This window comes from Homo sapiens, chromosome 2 (genome assembly GCF_000001405.40).
Source record: "Homo sapiens chromosome 2, GRCh38.p14 Primary Assembly".
Lineage (NCBI taxonomy): Eukaryota > Metazoa > Chordata > Mammalia > Primates > Hominidae > Homo > Homo sapiens.
In genome coordinates, this window is record NC_000002.12 from 104,162,170 (window position 1) to 104,181,224 (window position 19,055).

Sequence of the window (19,055 nt, forward strand, 5' to 3'; positions counted from 1 at the left end):
TCAGAGAGGGCTTCCTTGAAGAGGTGATATTTCATTTCAGCTGAGACATGAGAGATGGTTTAGAATTGGCAAGGTAAAGAGGAAAGCGGAGTATGTTCCAGGCAGAAGCACAGGCACGTGCAGAACCAGTGACATGGAGAAGAGACTGGTACAAAAATGCTCTGAAAATAACAACTTAAAAAAAAAAACTAGATAATTCAAAGGCATGACTAAAGGGCAGAGTTGTTGTGTGCGATGAAGTTGGAAAGGCAGTGAGTGGTGGAATATGTAAGGCTTTGCTGGCAGTGGTGAAGATGTTGGCTTTAGGCTTGTAGCAACTGGCAGATGGTGTAGACGTCTAAGGAAGGACACTCAAGGTAACTGTTCCAGCAGGAGTTGGGCAAAAGAGATAGAGGTTAGGAATTCATATTTTGGCATGTAGATTTTGAGATGCCTATAACATTATACTATGTCAGAGGTGACCTTCATTAAATCTAAAATTGGTGACTGGATTTATGGATCTGAATCTCTGAGGGAAGGTCTAGAAGAGTTATTCTCAGCTGAGAGCAGTGCCCCCTCTCCCCAGCAGTACTTGATAATGTCTGGCGACATTTTTGGTTTTCACAACTGGGAGAGAGGAGGGTGTTTTTGGCATCTAGAATGTAGAGAGCAGGGATACTACTAAATACCTTACGAGACATATCATAGCTACTCACAACAAATAATTATGTCTCCCAGAATATTGATAGTGATGAAATGGAGAAACCTGGATGTGAATCTGTAAGTCCTTAGTTGGTGTTTGAGGTTATATAGGAAAATAAGATCACTGAAGACCAGAGTAAGAGGAGAAGAGGACCAAGGACAGAGTCATAAGAAACTAATTGTTAAAAGTTGAGAAGAGGGGACATCTTCAAAACATTGAAGAAAAAAACAACCCGGGCCTGCACGGTGGCTCACTCCTGTAATCCCAGCACTTTGGGAGGCCCAGGCGGGTGGATCATGAGGTCAGGAGATCGAGACCATCCTGGCTAACACGGTGAAACCCCATCTCTACTAAAAATACAAAAACAAAATTAGCCGGGTGTGGTGGCGGGCGCCTGTAGTCCCAGCTACTCAGGAGGCTGAAGCAGGAGAATGGCGTGAACCCAGGAGGTGGAGCCTGCAATGAGCCGAGATTGTGCCACTGTGCTCCAGCCTGGGTGATAGAGCCAGATTCTGTCTCAAAAAAAAAAACAAAAAACAAAAAAACCCGGAGATGTGGCAGCAAAAATGGTGATCCTGCTACGATTTTTATTGAAATCAATTGCATTATTTATCTATTGCTGTATAGCAAATTACCCCAGAATTTAGCTTAGCATCTTGCAACCATAAGCATGGATTGCCTCACACAATTTCTGTAGGTCAAGAATCTAAGACAGTCTTGTGTGGGTTGCTGTGGCTCACAGTCTTTTACAAGGCTTCAGATGAGTTCTCTACTAATGCTACAATCTTCTTAAAGTTCAGCAAGGGATGGGAAATCTGCTCCCACCTCACTACTGTGATTATTGGCAGGCCTCCACTCCTCACCAGAGGTTCCAGTACCCACCACAGGGGCCCCAAAATGGGTTGCTTAAAGCATGACTGCTTGATGTCATCCATCATTGCTGCTATTCATTAGTTAAAGAGTTGCTAAATCCAGCCCACACCCGAAGGGAGCAGAATTAATCTCATCTCCCTGAGATTCTGTGTTTCTTCTATGGAATGCTTACTTGAGAGTACACAGTAGACATCTGGCCAACCAATAAGTTGACTCAGCCTGGGTAAGGTGTTAACTCCAGTCACATCCGCTCTGATGAGCAAAGTTTTTTAGTCCAAACATGTTGCAGTGCTTATCTCAGAAAAAAAGCAGTTTGCTCTGCTTTTGAGGGAAGCAGTTTTTAGGGAGAAGTGTGGCCTAGGGAGTGGTGGTTGTGTGTCAAAGGAAAAAAATCAGCTGGATCTGGTAGAGAGGAGTCAGTTTCTTTAACGTATGTGCTGCCCTTCACCCTCTGCAGTTCTATGTGCCCTTTACACTCTGCAGTTAGCTATAACCAGATTTCATGAAGATGTTGGCTTATATTCTATGTGATTTTTTTTCTGTGGAAAAAAAGAGTACTAATGTCTGACTTTTGCAGCAACAATTAGTTTACCAAGATCTGATAAAGCTCAACACATTAGTGCAAACTTGAACATTGTCTAAAATATTAACTGATTATTGACTTTATCTGCCAGTGAAAAAATTATTGCCAAAAATACAGATTTTATTTTTCTCAAGTGTACTTAGTAAATGACATTATATGCCACTACTCACATTGGCCCCGGGCTAGGAATTTTAAAGCATTTCCTTTCACTGGACTTGAGTACTAGACACCAGCTTGAGTTCATGTTAAAGAAAAAATGAATTTGACCTATGCCTTCTTCACAGGCTATGACAATCTACTCAGGCACCATTATCATTAGTTGATTATGTATTGACTGCTTATCACATATACCTCTTTTTCCCTTTCTTCCTCTGTCTTCACACAATATTGGAAATTGAACTTTTATTCCTGAGAAGAATTTAGAGAGTTGGCATCTGGTTATGTGTGGGCATTTTTACACTCTAAGTTTTTATTGAGGAGGCTTTATAAAAATAGTTGTTTTAGAGAGAAGTGGATTCATTACTGTCATCCCCATTGTAATGGAAATGTCTACAGTGAGCCTTATCTTCCCACAGAAATGTACCTGGGCCACAAAAGCCACTGAGGAACTTGGAGGCAGACTCTGTGTGTTGGCAGAAACCCATAGCATCTCAAACATTCACAGCAGGCGCTCTTTGGAATCACAAATGCTGACCATTGGCAACTTATTTGTGAAAATAGCTAATGCTAACTCTGCGTTTGTCTCCCCTCGTCTCCGCAGGCCGTGCGGTCAGTATGGTGGACTCCTCAGCCTCCTCGGGGCTAGGTGACAATGTTAACAGAGTCCTTCACAAAGGACTTCACAAAGGCTATATCTGCAGGATGCTTTCACTCTAGGATTTTATTAATATCACTGATTTATATTAATATTAGAGCATTAAAATGTGAAAGAGACCAAAGCAATTTTTAAAATTATATGCTAATAAACTAAAATCGAATTACACATTTTTTTCCACACTTAAACCAATGTTATCAGTATAACAAGGCACACACACACACACAAAAAAACCCTAGGCTAAAGTGAAATATTTACTGCAGTAATCACTGTTAAAAAAATACAAGACTCTTATGAACTCCTGTCTTTCCGGAACATGAAGTAATTTCTTTGAAATAAGCAGTTCTCATACCATTATTTCATATCATCTTACAATCCAAGGACTTGAAAAAGAATCTCACCAAGATTAAAGACTAAAAATAATTTAAAATACTGACATTGAAACTGACTCATTTTTTTGCTAACCTCAGTTATTAAATAAGCGAAATATGTATCATCAAGCTAAAGCCTCATTATATTCAGAAATCTCATCCTAAAAGGAGATTGTCATTCTGACTAGCAACAAGTGACTAGATGAAAATGCACTGAATTGTAGTTACTGAACTTTGCAACTGGCTACCTTTACCTGATTTAGCCAAAATACACGTTTGTGCTTAATTGTACATCTCATGTTTAGATTCATTCAATATTCATTCATTTATGTTTGGTTGAAGTAAGATAGAATCTCTTAATGACGAGGTAACCAGTGAGGCTTGTTTTCCTAAAAATAATTTCAGCCTGTACAAGGATAGACTTTAGCAAATCAAATTTTATTTTCTCAACAATCCTATGCTTATATCCCTTGCATGCCCTTATGCTTCCCTGAGGATCTTATCTAAATGAGATAGCCACAGAGGCATCTTGCATGGTCAGTAATTTTAATGGGAATCTGTCTCTTCAAGAATCTCAAAACTTTACAGATTCTCCGTAGCACCATTGAGATGTTGGGAAAGTGTTCTTGTCACAACTCTAAATCTAGAAAAGCTGGGAACAGCAAGGGGAAAGTAAGTCCTCAAGGTCATTCAAGGTTAGCAAGCAAGACTTGAAATCTAGTACTCCTGGCACCTACTCTGCAATTTTAACCAATATGCCATCTTGCTTATCTCTTTCTGATCTGCCTAATGAGCAGCTGTCGAGCATTAAGCAAAATCATCCCATCCCTGCTAAAAATACACTGTATACGCCAATTTTCAAAAAGGAAGCCAAGGAGACGATGTATAGTTTTCTGTGTCCAGGTGCTTTATTCAGTCCCTGGTCTTTATTTAGTTCTTGACGCATCCCAATATTCGTCCTGTTTGCTGACACTTTATGACAGCCCCAGAAGTCACTGCTGCTGGGAGTGGTTGCAGATCATTCCACATTCATGATTTGAAGGAGAAAACATACACCAGGCACAGGAAGTATTTGCAGAGCTGGAACCTGAACAGGATGATGTTCTAAATGACAGGAACATCCTTTATCAAACATCACACTATTTCAGTTACAATATTCCTAGAAAATTCCAGAAAGGAGCAACATGGATAAGTATAATATTTGCGTATAAAAGAAGACTTCCCCTTTTTAAATTTACTTCAATCTTTTCTCTTTTATTTAATGTCAAAGTTAGCACCCAATTCACCTATTCAATACAATATAATCCTTAAAAATGGATAAAAGTTTCATCCAAATATTTCAACAATGAACTCAAAATAATTGACTTGTCACTATAATTATTCTCCACATTTTAGGAATGCATCTTTGGGTTTATATTCAAAGTACTTTACAAATATATTTTAATATATGCAGTATAGTAATAAGTAACCTAGAAAACACTGGTTTAGGCTGTATATACATCAAAGTATATTTAAGCAATTTTTTATACATATGATACATAAAATGAAATACCTTCTATTAAACTCATTATATATTCAAATTACAAAGTGCTCCTCAGCTTACTGTAGATTAATAATTTCTTTCATGTTATGTGTCATAAACTATGACATTTTACATTCATGAGTTAGACTGTGGTAGTTTTAATGATAAATATACAATAGAGAAATTAAATTGAGATACATAACGTAACTCATCACAATTGCAACCAGGAGATGAGCTAAAGTTCGCTAAATAAACATTGAGATAGAGTTTTGAACAGGCAGATGCTGAAAACTTGGTATTATTAGAAGAACCAAAAAAGGAGGGGCCTGAAGACAGTGAGTGTCTGCGCGTGTGTGCTTTCTAAGAATAGGAGAGCCAAGATCTTTGGCCAGGAGAGGAGAAATGTAAGGAAAAAGCAGCTCAACTTGTGTGAGTGAAACAAGATAGAACAGTCATTTTATACAAGCTAGTGGTTAAAAATAAAACTGAAATATATTAGTAGAGTCTTTATTGTATTTTGCAGCAAGACCAGAGGGAAATTGCAGAATTAATTTGTGAATGGCTTCACTCTTAAATTCATGAAAGGAACTTCCACATTTATCTCTTGGACCAGTCTGTAAAGTGGGATCATGCAGGTATTTACAGCCAGCTGTATGTTGATTTGCATAAGGAGTCCAAGACTGTTTAAAGCCAACGCTCACTGAGGAATACTGATTATTGCCAAAATTATGTGAAAACAATAACGCTAATTGCCAAATGAATTAAAATTATGAGGTGCCTGTTTGATACATAAAACAATAAATCTTGAGTGTGTTCAGGTGAGAGTATATATCTGCAAGTTATACCATACAATACAGTATGGCTTGTAGTTTAATTTTATTAACAGCGTTTTCAATGATTAGGAGATTTTAATTTTGAGAAAACACAATTCATTGTTTTTTCTTTAATGAATTCTGCTTTTGCTGCCTGCCTTGGACCTTTTTTTTTTTTTTTTTTTTTTTTTTCGAGACGGAGTCTCGCTCTGTCGCCCAGGCTGGAGTGCAGTGGCGCGATCTCGGCTCACTGCAAGCTCCGCGCCCCGGGTTGACGCCATTCTCCTGCCTCAGCCTCCAGAGTAGCTGGGACTACAGGCACAGGCCACCATGCCCGGCTAATTTTTTGTATTTTTAGTAGAGACGGGGTTTCATCATTTTAGCCAGGATGGTCTCGATCTCCTGACCTCGTGATCTGCCCGCCTCGGCCTGCCTTGGACCATTTTTGCTACTATAACAAAACACCTTAGACTGGGTAATTTAGAAAGAACAGTTCTGGAAGCTGGGAAGTCTAAGATTAAGGTGTGAACAGATTCAGTGGCTGATGAGGTCCTACTTGCTGAGTCCTCATGCGGTAAAAGCAAAAGGAGCTAGGAGCTTCAACATCTTTTACACGAGCACTAATCTCATTCAAGAGAATGCAGAGTTCATGACTTAATTACTTCCTCAAAGGCCTTCCTTCTTAATACTATCACAATAGGTACTGGGTTCCAACATATGAATTTTGGAAGGACGCATACATTAAAAACATAGCAGAGTCATATCTGAGAAATCTTTGCCTAGCTCAAAGGCTTTCTCCTACTTCGTCTTCTAAAGTAATTAAAGTTTTATATTTTTAGATCTATGAACAAATTTGAGTTCATGTTTATACGTAGCATGAAGTAGAGATTGAGTTTCTTTTTATTGTTTGCATGGAAATCCAAATATTTGTTGCAAAGGCTACTTTTCTCTATTGAATTTAAAATATATTTATTTGTTATTTATGGAATCATTTTATAATTTTTCATGACTACATTTTTGGAAAATAAGTGAAATACGTTGAGAAATTTTTTTAAGTAATAGTCTTTTTGTTGATATTCTTTATTTTAGATATCATTGATTTAAAATATGTTGGTGTCTTGCGACTCTTTTAAACATCTTTTTCAGGCATAATTGACATATAAATTTCATATATGTAGGTAGTGTGATTTGATAAGTTTTGACATATGCATATGTCAATGAAACTACCAACACGTTCAAAATGACAAACATATCAATCACCCTTTTGTAATCCCCCCCTCCTCAACCTCCCCACCCTATCTCCAGTTAATCACTTATCTATTTTCTGTCATATAGATAATTTTACATTTTCTAAATTTTATGCAAATGGGATGGCAGCATATGTACTCTCTTTTGTCTGGGTTCATTCATTCAAAATAATGAGTTTGAGATTCATTCATATTGGTAAGTACATAAAAAATTCATTTCTTTTTCTGCCAATTAGTGTTTCATTGTATAGAGATACTACAACTTATCAAGCCATTAACCTATTGATACACATGCAGGTCATTTCTATTTTTTGGCAATTACAAATACCATTGCTACGAACATTTAAGTACAAGTCTGTGTAGACATATCTTTTATTTATCTTGGAAAATTACTTGGAAATAATTAGCTAGGAATAATAGCTGAATCATATTAATATAATAGATGTCTACCTAACATTTCAAGAAATCGCCAGACTATTTTGTGAGGTAGTTATATAATTTTACATTCCCACCAGGAATGTATGAGAGTTTTGGTTTCTCCATATTCTTGGCAACACTTAATACAATCAATATTTTAAGTTTTAGCTATTCCAGTATATGAACAGTGGTACATCATCATGGCTTTAATTTGCATTTCCCTAGTGATTAATGATATTGAGCATCTTTTCATGTTGCTATTTGCCATCTTTATATGCTCTTTAGTAAAGAGTCTAGTTTATTAAACTGTTTTTCTGTTGTTACATTTTGTGTCTTCAAATACTTATTCTAGCAAGAAGTCCTTTGTTGGATGTGTAATTTGCAAATAGTTTTAACGTTCTGATGCTAAGTTTTTTGGTCTCTTAACAGTGTCTTTAACAAAGCATTTTGTAAAATTTGGTTGAGTTCAGTTTATCAAATTCATATTTTTTGGATTATGCATTTTGGATCATGTGTGAGTACTTTCTGCCTTACGACAGGTTACAGAGATTTTCTTCTGTATTTCCTCTAGAAGTTGTATTGTCCTATATTTTAAATTTAAATGTAAATTTTTACTTTATGTGTGAGGGTTAGGACAGCATTCCATTTTAAAATATGGATTTACAGTTGTTCCAATGGCATTTATTGAAAACAATATCCTTCTGTATTGAATTGTTTTGCACCATTGTCAAAATGGGAAGAGGAAGATAGGATGCAATAAACAGGTTTCCTATTACTCTAAGTACAGCTAAAAACTCTGGACATTAAATTGAAAGAAGCAAAGGATTAACTCTGAAAAATAGAAGAATACAAACAGCTTGAATCTTAAGACCGAAGGAGTGAAAATAACTATGAGTTTATTGGGTTTTCTTTCTGCTTCATGTATCCCAAAATAGGTGTTGGAGAAGCTGGCAACCTACAGATGCCAACAGTCAAAGAAGAAAATTATTCCCAAGTAAATCTTCCTTTCTTTAGCCAAAGGAAAGGATAGCTTTGCTTTACATCACAGGAAATTTGCAAACAATAGCCACTCTACTACTGCCAAGTACCAACATAAACACTGTGACTACACCCTCCACCTCTGACAGGAAAGGCTGAGTGGAGTCCCTAGACTTCTACTCTCAGAGGGCTATAACAAGGCCTCCAGCCCTGTCTCTGAGGCCAAGTGGGTACCTGGGACTTCATCCCTGTGAGACCATAATTAACTTAAACTTCCACCCTAGCTGTCAGTACAAGGTGGCACTTTTCCCCCAAACCTCTTCACCCACCAGAGCATGTCATACAAGGTCTGATAAGAAATAAGATTTATATACGATGCAGAATCTTATAAAACTCAAAAATGTCCAGGTCTCAATTGAAAATAACTCATTATACTAAGAACCAGTAATATCTCAATCAGAATGACAAAAGACAGTCAACAAAAAGCAACAAGAGGTGACACAGATGTTAGAATTTTCTGACAAAAATGTTAAGCACATTGTAAAAATATAGTAAGTCTTCACAAAACATTGTCAACAGGTTCTTGGAAACTTTGACTTTAACACAACAAAACAACTTATAACAAACCAATTTTACCATAAGTTAATTGATATAAATGAGACTTGTTTCTACTGTATATTTCTGGTCACAAAAATATCACCAAACTTCTAAATAAAGAACAAAGGCTCCAAATATTAAACACTGAAATAAATGTGAGTGATACATACACTGAAGAGAGATTTATAAAAAAAAGTAAGATCATTATTTATGCAATTATTTCAGTTCAAGGTCACGGGTGACCAGAGCCCATCCAGGCAGCTCAGAGTGCAGTGCAGGAACCAACCCTGAACAGGACGCCATGCCATTTCAGGGTTCACTCACACACACCTACACTTGCTCCAACAAGGGCCACTGAGACACACCAATGAACCTAACCTGCACTTATTTGGGATGTGAGAAAACCCAGAATACCCAGAGAACACACACAACGACAGGGGAAGAACATGTAGACTCTGCATAGACAGTGGTCCCGGCCTAGAATCAATTTTTTTTCTCATTGTGATGGTTAATATTGAGTGTCAACTTGATTGGATTGAAGGATGCAAAGTACTGTTCCTGGGTGTGTCTGTGAGAGTGTTGCCAAAGGAGATTAACATTTGAGTCAGTGGACTGGGAGAGGCAGACCCACCCTCAATGTGGGTGGGCACCACCTAATCAACTGCCAGAATAAAGCAGGCAGAAGGTGAGAGAAGCAGACTTGCTGAGTCTTCCAGCCTTCATCTTTCACCAGTGGTGGGTGCTTCCTGCCCTTGAACATCAGACTCAACGGGTGGTTTACCAGGGCGTCTGGGGCCTTCAGCTACAGACTGAAGGCTGCACTGCCAGCTTCCCTACTTTTGAGGTTGGGGACTCAGACTGACTTCCTGACTCCCCAGCTTGCAGATGGCCTATTGTGGGACTTCACCTTGTGATCATGTGAGTCAATACTCCTTAATAAACTCCCCTTCATATGTACATTTATCCTATTAGTTCTGTCCCTCTAGAGAACCCTGACTAATATACTCATCAATGTTATAATGAAATAATGTTGAACAAAACAATGTTAACAAGGGCCTGCTATTCTTTAAAGAGAAAATACATACGTAATTCAAAGAAGTGAGAAATAGACTGTCTGAGCAAATAAATAGAAAATGCAAAGAAGAAGCAAATGGAAATTTTATAATTCAAATACCATAACAGAATTTAAAAAAAAAAAAAAAAACTCCTTGGATGGGCTGAAGAGCAGAATAGAGAGGGGAGAGGAAAGAATCAGTGAACCAGACCATAGAACAATATAAATTAGCTAGTCTGAACACCAGAGAGAAAATAAAATGAAAAAGAAAAATGAGCAGAGCTTCGGGAACTTGTGGGATTACAACAAAAGATAGAATGTCTGTATCCTCAGAACTTCAGAAAAGGAGCAGCAGAGTAGGACTAAAAAAGATTAGAGGAAATATGGTTTTATTTCACAGAAATAATGGCTTTTCCAAACTTAACAACAATAAAAAAAGGTTAACCTATGAATTCAAGACTACCAAAAAAAAAAAAAAAAATGAAGCAGGGTAAGCCCAAGGAAATCCACACCAAGACACATAATAATTAAACTTTTGAAAACTAATGGCAAAAATAAAATCTTGAAACAACCACAGGAAAAAATGTCAGATAACTTTTTTTTTGGGGGGTACAATGGCGTGATCTCGGCTCAGTGCAACCTCCGCCTTCTGGGTTCAAGCAATTCTCCTGCCTCAGCCTCCTGAGTAGCTGGGATTACAGGCATGCACCACCACACCAGGCTAATTTTGTATTTTTAGTGGAGACAGGGTTTCTCCATGTTGGTCAGGCTGGTTTCAAACTCCTGAAAATGTCATATAACTTTTTATAAGGAAACACTAATTCAAATGGCAGTGGATTTCTCATCTGAATCATTGGAGGCAAGAAGAGAGTGGCTTAGTTTGTTTTAAATGCTGGAAAAAAAACCCTGTAAACCACAAATTCTATAACTGGTAAACATGAATAAAGACATTGTCAGATGAAGAAAAACTAAGGTAATTTATTGCTAACAAACTTGCTCTTAAAAAATAGTTAAGCTCTTTAGAGAGAAAGAACATGATAACAAAAGAAGTCTTAAAATTACAGAAAGGAAAGAATTACATTAAAATGTTTAAAAAGAGGAGTATAAATATAGTATCTTTCTTCTTGTAGGTTACTTAAATCATATTCAATAGTAGAAGCAAAAATTATGAAAACATCTGATATTTGTCATTGAATTATATTCAATGTATGCAGAAGAAATGCTTAATACAATCATGTTTTTTATATGGAGAAGGTAAAGTAATGTTTCTAAACTTTACTCAAAGTGAAAAAACGTTGATACAGGTAGACTGTGTAATTACATATGTACATTTTCATACGTACAGCAACTTGTCTTCTGGCTAATTTTATTTGTCAACTTGACTAGGCCATGCTACTGACATATTAGGTCAAACTCTTCTGGATAATACTGAAACAGTGTGTTTTCAGATGAGGTTAACATTTAAATCAACAAACTTTGAGTGAAACAGATTTCCCTCTGTAATGTGAGTGGGCCTCATTCAGTAAGTTGAAGACCTTAAGAAAAAGACTGATATCCCCCAAAAAAGAGCGAATCCATCAAGAAGACTGTCTTCAGACTCCAGCTGAAGCACCAACTCTCTCTCTCTATATATATGTAAAAATTTTATACATATATTCATACACATATATATGTATGAATTTAGAAAAAACTCATTGGATGGGCTGAAGAGCAGAATAGAGAGGAGAGAGGAAAGAATCAGTGAACCAGACCATAGAACAATATAAATTAGCCAGTCTGAACACCAGAGAGAAAATAAAATGAAAAAAATAAATGAGCAAGGCTTCAGGAACCTGTGGGATTACAACAAAAGATAGATACAACAGCACATACACACTGAAAATAAAAGAACTGATTATATAAACAATAATTAAAAATGAAAAAGTGACATATTAATGTCAGAATAAAGTAAATTCAAAACAAAGAATATCCCTATAGAAAAAAAGAGAGATTATGTAACAGTAAAAAAATAGAAATAAATTATTAAAAATGTGTGCATACATACAAGCACACAACAGAGCCTCAAAATACACTAAACAAAAACTAAGAGTTGAAAGGACAAATAGACAAATAGACAAATCCACCAACCTGTTTAAGGACTTCAACATCTCATATCTCTCTCCTCTCTCTCTCTTTCTATATATATATATATATATATATATATATATATATATATATATATACACACACACACACATATACATATATATCAATTTCTCAATATATGTATCAAATATATATATCAATTTCTCTATCTATATATAAATATAGATATATATAAATAGAGAGAGAGAGGAGAGAGAGACTGCTAGAGACAAAGATTTATGTTATGAAATTATGTTAAAGAATTGGCTCACCTGATTGTGAGACTGGCAGGTCCAAAACTATATATAAATATATAGATATAGATATCTATATATAAATATATAGATAGCTAGAGAGAGAGAGAGAGGAGAGAGACTGCTAGAGACTAAGATTTATGTTATGAAATTATATTAAAGAATTGGCTCACCTGATTGTGGAGACTGGCAGGTCCAAAACTTGCAGGGTAGTCTAGAAGCAGTCTAGAGACCCAGGAAAGAGTTAATGTTTCAGCTGGAGTGTAAAGGCAGTCAGCTCGATGAATTCCCTATTTTTATGGGAGGAGCAGTCTTTTTCTTATGGCCTTCAACAAAATGAATGAGGCCCACTCACATGATGGGGGAAACTGTTTCACTCAAAGTTTGTTGATTTAAACATTAACCTCATCGAAAAACATACCTTTTCAGTATTATCCAGAAGACTTTGACCAAATATCTCAGTAATGTGGCCTAGCCATGTTGACAAATATTAATAAAATTAGGCAGAATGTTAGGTATTGGTACGTTGCTGTAGGTATTAAAATGTACATATGTAATTTATCATAGTCTACTGGTATCTACATTTTACCACTTTTAGTGAAATTTAGAAGTATTAGCTTACCTTCTCCTTATAAAAAGTCTACTTATGTTAAGTATTTCTTCTATAGTACCATTTCATGTGGTTTTATAATTTTTGCTTCTACCATTTTTATACACACACAGACACACACACACACACACACACATGCTGTTTCTCTGCAGAACCCTGACTCCTACAATTAGTAAGAAAACTATATAAAGAATCAAAACATTACAAATTAAAATGCAATTATAACAAATATCCATGCAACCCACAGGTAGGTAAGTAGGTAGAGAGACAAAAAATAAAAAAAGGAAATAAATAAAAAGTAAATGCTAATAAAACTGATTTAGCTTTAACATACAATACCTATCATATGGCAGAAATTGATAGAATGAATAAAAGAAACTGAAACACATTCAAGTGTCCCTACAGAAAGCTCACTTTAGATACAACAGCACATATACACTGAAAATAAAAGAATTGATTGTACAAACAATAATTAAAAATGAAAAAGTGACATATTAATGTCAGAATAAAGTAAACTCAAAACAACGTATATCTCTACAGAAAAAAGATAATATGACAGTAAAAGGAAAAATAGAAATAAATTATTAAAAATGTGTGCATACACACACACACACAACAAAGCCTCAAAATACACTAAACAAAAACTAAGTGTTGGAAGGACAAATAGACAAATAGACAAATCCACCAACATGTTTAAGGACTTCACCATCTAATTCTCAACAATTAAAGATACTAAACAAAAATTAGCAGGAATATGGAAGAACTAAACAACAGAATCAAGCAATAGGATGATACATCTTTTTTTTTTCAGTGACACTGGAATGTTCAGCAAGATGAATCAAATCCTGGATTATAAAACAACCCCCAACAAGTTTAAAATAATTGAAATCATGCAGCATATTTTCTCTGATCATAAAGCGATCTGCTAGAAATCAATAACAGAAAGACAAATGAAAAATCTCCAAACATTTGGAAATTAAATTACAGACTTCTAAATACATCATTGATAAAAGACAAATTCTCAGAAGCAATAAATAGAAAATACATAGAATTAAATGAAAATGAAAATACAAAAGATCAAAATATGCAGAATGCACCCAAAGCTGTGTTGAAAGGAGAATAACAGCACTAAATGCTGCCACTATGAAAGAGGCAAAGTTTCCAAATCACTAATCTAAGTTCTCACCTCAAGAAACTAGAAAAAGAACAAAATAAAACCAAAGGAGACAGAAGAAAGGAAATAACAGAAATTAATGACATTGAAAACAGAAAGACAATGGAGAAAATAAATGAATAAAACGCTAATGCTTAAAAAATCAATAAAATTGATAAACCTATTGCAATATAAGGAAAAAATAGAAGACAAAAATAAACATGATCAGGAATATAATATTGGATATTTCTGCAATCATTTAAAGGATAATAGAAAAATATGAATAATTTTATGCTCATAAGTTTGACAACTTAAAAGAAACGTATCAATTTCTCAAAACCCATAAACTACCAAAACTCAACTGAGATGGAATAGACAACCTGAACCATCTTGTAATCATTAAAGAAAATGAACATGGACATATAATTTTTAAACCGCAGGAAAAGAAATCTTCAAGTCCAGAATAATTTACTGCAGAATTCAAACAGTAAATAATAATTAATAAAAAGTTTACACAATATCTTTAAGAAAATAGAAGAGTGAATATTTCCCAACTCATTTTATGAGGATTATATTACCTTGATTCAAAACCAGACAAAGACAGTCCAAATAAGCAAAACTATGGGCAAATATAACTCATGAATTTAGACACAAAAGTCCTTAATACAGTATCAGTAAATCAATTCCAGCAATGTAGTTTTAAGAGTATACATCATGACCACATGGAATTTATTACAGATAAATTCTTCAACATTAACAAACATTAGCAATGTGATTTACCCTATCAACAAGCTAAAGCAATTTGATTTTTAAATAAAATTATTAAGCAAAAGTACTTGAAAAATTTAACACTCAAGTATGGTAAAATTTCAAGTTAGGAATAGAGGGAAACTACTTCAGTTCATGAGGAATATTGGCCTGTAATTTATTTTTTCTTTCAGTGTCCTTGTCTGGCTTTGATAGCAAGGTGATAAGGATCTCATCAATTTGAAAATTGTCCTTCTTCAATTATTTTAGTAGAGTTTGAAAAGGATTGGCATTAATTCTTCCTTAAATGTTTGGTAGTATTCACTAGCGAAGCCAGTAATTCCTGAACTTTATTTACTTTGTTGAGAGGTGTTTGTTTAGTGATTCAGTGTCCTTACTCTTTATTGCTCTGTTCAAATTTTCTGTTTCTTCATAATTCAGTCTTGGTAGGTTGTATGCATCCAGAAATATATCCATTTTTCTAGGTTATACATACAATTAATTGGTGTAAAATAGTTTATAGCTGTCTCATATGATTTATATTTCAGGTATCAGTTGTAAGGCCTCCTCTTTCTTTTCTGATTTAATGTAGTAATTCTCTTTTTTTCTTAATCCAGCTAAAAGTTTGTTGATTTTGTTTATCCATTAAAAATAAACTCAGTTTATTTCATCTTTTAAATTTTTCTAGTCTCTGTTTTGCTTATTGCTGCTCTGATACTTCATATATTCTCCCTACTGCTAACTTTGAGCTTAATTTGCTTTTATTTTTCTAGTTTCTTGAGAAGTACTGTTAGGTTATTTACTTGATGTATTTCTTCTTTTTTTGATGCAAGAATTTATTGCTATAACCTCCTCTCTTAGAACTGCTCTTGCTGCATCGTATACATTTTGGTGTGTTGTGTGCCTCTTTTCATTTGTCTCAAGATATATTTTTTAAACTTACTTTTTAATTTCTTCCGGAATCATTGGCTGGTCAAGAGTATGTTGTTTAATTTTCATGTGTTTCTGAATTTTCCAAAATTCCTTTTGTTATTGATCTCTAGTTTCATATAAGAGTAGTCAGAAAAGACATTTTATATTATTTCAATCATAAATTTGTTAAGTTTTGTTTTGTTGCCTAAAATATGCTATATACTAGAGAATTTTGTTTTTGTTTTTTTGCACTGGAGAAAAATGAGTATTCTCTTTTGCTGTTGAATGAAATGTTCTTATATGTCTGTTAAGTCCATTTGATCTAAAGTGTAGTTTAAATCTAGTGTTTCCTTATTGATTTTCTGACTGGATGATATATTGACTATTGAAAGTAGAATATTGAAGTTCTGTACTATTGTATTACAGTCTCTCTCTTCAGAACAATTAATATTTGCTTTACATATTTAGGTGCTCTGATGTATATAGTACATGTGTACTTATAATTGTTATATCATCTTGATGAAGTTATTCCTTTACCAATATATAATAACATTTTTTGTCTCTTTTTATAGGTTTGAATTAAAGTCTATTTTATCTGATGTAAGTATAGCTACTCCTGCTGTCTTTTGGTTTTCATTTACATAGAATATCTTTATTTATATCTTCTATTTCAATCTATATATATCAGTAAACAGGACCCAAATATATGTTGCCTATAACACACTTATTTCAGTCTGTTATATTTGGGTCTTGGGTCCTGTTTTTTTTCTTTTTAAATGTATTCAACCATTCTATGTCTTTTAATTGGATAATTTAGTACATTTATATTCAAGGTAATTATTGATAGATAAGTACTTACAATTGCCATTTTGTTCATTTTCTCATTATTTTGCTGATCCTTTGTGCCTTTCTTCCACTCCTGCTGTCTTTCTTTGTGGTTTGATGATTTTCTGTAGTTGTATGCTTTGATTCCTTCCTCTTTGTATTTTTTTTAGATCTCCTATACATTTTTGCTTTCTGCTTACCTTAAAGTCTACATAAAACTTATTATAGTTATGACAGGTTATTTAAGCTGATAAATTCAATCACGTACAAAACTATACTGTTACTACTTTTACCTGCGTTTTATCTTTTTGATGTCACAATTAACATTATTTTGTATTGTGTATCCCTTAAAAATTATTGTAGATACACTTATATTAATAGTTTTGTTCTCTAACCTTTCTATTAGAGATATGTTATTTACATGACACTCAAAGTTTTACCTTATTCTGCATTTGATAATATACTTACTTTTACCAGTGATTATTATATTATTGTGAATTTTCTTATTACTAATGAGATTCCTTCTGTTTCAGCTTGAAGAACTTTCTTCAGTATTTCTGGTAAGATAGGTCTAGTGATATGAACTCCCTGAGCTTTCATTTGTTTGTGAAAGTCTTTATCAATTTTTCGTTCCTTAAGGACATCTTTCTTTTCTCAGTGAACTATTACTGGTTAGCAATTTTTTTTCTTGTTGCGCTTGGAGTATATCAACCCAGTCTCTCCTGGCCTGCAAAGTCTCTGCTGAGAAATCAGCTGCCAGCCTTATGTGTGATCACTTGTATGTGAGAATTTTTTTCTCTTGCTGCTTTCATGAGTCTCTCCTTGTCTTTCAATTTTGACAATTTGATTATAATATTTCTTGGCATAGTTCACTTTGGATTGCATTTCACTGGAGTTCTTAGAGCCTCCTGTACCAGGATACTTATATCTTTCCTCAGATTTGGCATATTTATTTAAATAATCTTGTGTCCCTTTTTCTTTTCTCCTTCTTAGACTCCTATAATGAGAAAGTTAGCTGTCTAGATGCTGTCGTACAATGCATGTATGCTCTTTTTATTCTGTTTATTCTTTTTTCTCTATTGATAGCATGTCTTTTTGTTTTCAGATTTTGTCTACTTGATAAGTTTTCATGTTGTTGTTCTCTATTTCATTTTTTATTTCATTCATTGTGTTCTTCAGCTCCAGATTTCTTTGTTTTTTTAATATAATTTCAACTTCTCTATTAAAAAGGCTGTTTTGTTTCACTTATTGCTTTTCTGATTTTGTTAAATGGTATCATTCTGTTTTCTTGAAGTTCACTGAGCTTTCTTAAAATGATTATTTTAAATTCTTTGCCAGACAATTTGTAGATCTCCATTTTCGATGGGTCAATTACTGGGAAATTATTGTACTCCTTTGGTAATGATATGTTTCCTTAGTTTTTCATATGCCTTGTTGCCTTGTGTTTATGTTTGTTAATTTATTGAAGCAATTACTTTTCTAGACTTTACAGACTCTTTTCAGTTGGGAAAGACCTTCCCTTATAGGTGGGTGCAAAGACACAAGCTGAGAAGGTTATGATTGTTCTGGCTCCCGTAAGGACACTGCAGCATAGTCTCAGTACAGCCCTGTCAGGTAAATTCAATGTTGGCAAATATTTCAGGGAGCCCTAACAGGCAACTCTGTGGATATCCTCATTGGTGGTGAAGGATGTTGGAATTTTCAATGGCAAAGGATGGTGAAAGATGTTGAAATTTTCGATGGCAAAGGCTTCTGGGGTCCCGCTGATCTATTTTTCTTCCAACAGGAAAGTCGTGGCCAAAGGAATCCCTCTTGGCACTGGTTCTGGCTTGAGAGCATGCTTGCACCAGGGTCTAATGCACAACACCTGTGGAGTGGCCATGGCTCTGAGTTCTGAAGGATAGGCATGCATGGAAGGATCATGATTTGGGGGTCCAGGGCAGTAGTGGCACCAGTGCCTGGAGTGCTGGCACCCCAACTGCTGCATTGGTGTGTGCAGGGTGCAGACTAGCCCATAGGAGCAGTGTCTCCAAGACTGATGTGTGAGCATATGCAGTGTAGCCACAGAGCTGGGGTCTGAAACACTGGCAAGCACAGAGCAACTGCAGAGCTGAGACCTGGAGTGTGGACACAGGCGGAGCAGCTGCAGCTCTGGAGTCAACGGTGTGCATTCAGGTTGGGAGGGGTGGCTCTGGCTTTGAATTAGCACAAGATTGGCTGCTTCTTGAGAAGGGGGACAGGGGACATAGACACATCTCCCTCCTCAAAGGATCCATGTCTGGGATGGCTGTTGCTTACCGAGTGGCAAAAAAAAATTGCTGTTGTCCTTTACAGAGCAGGCCCCTGGAGACCACAGTGGCACTCCCCACGTGGCTGATAATGATGTTCCCGCTTTCTTTGTTCCTAGACATCTCCAAATGTTTCAGGTATGCTGCTCTGCTCAGTGATCTTTTCTGTGTGTCTTTTCTTTTTCTTTTCCT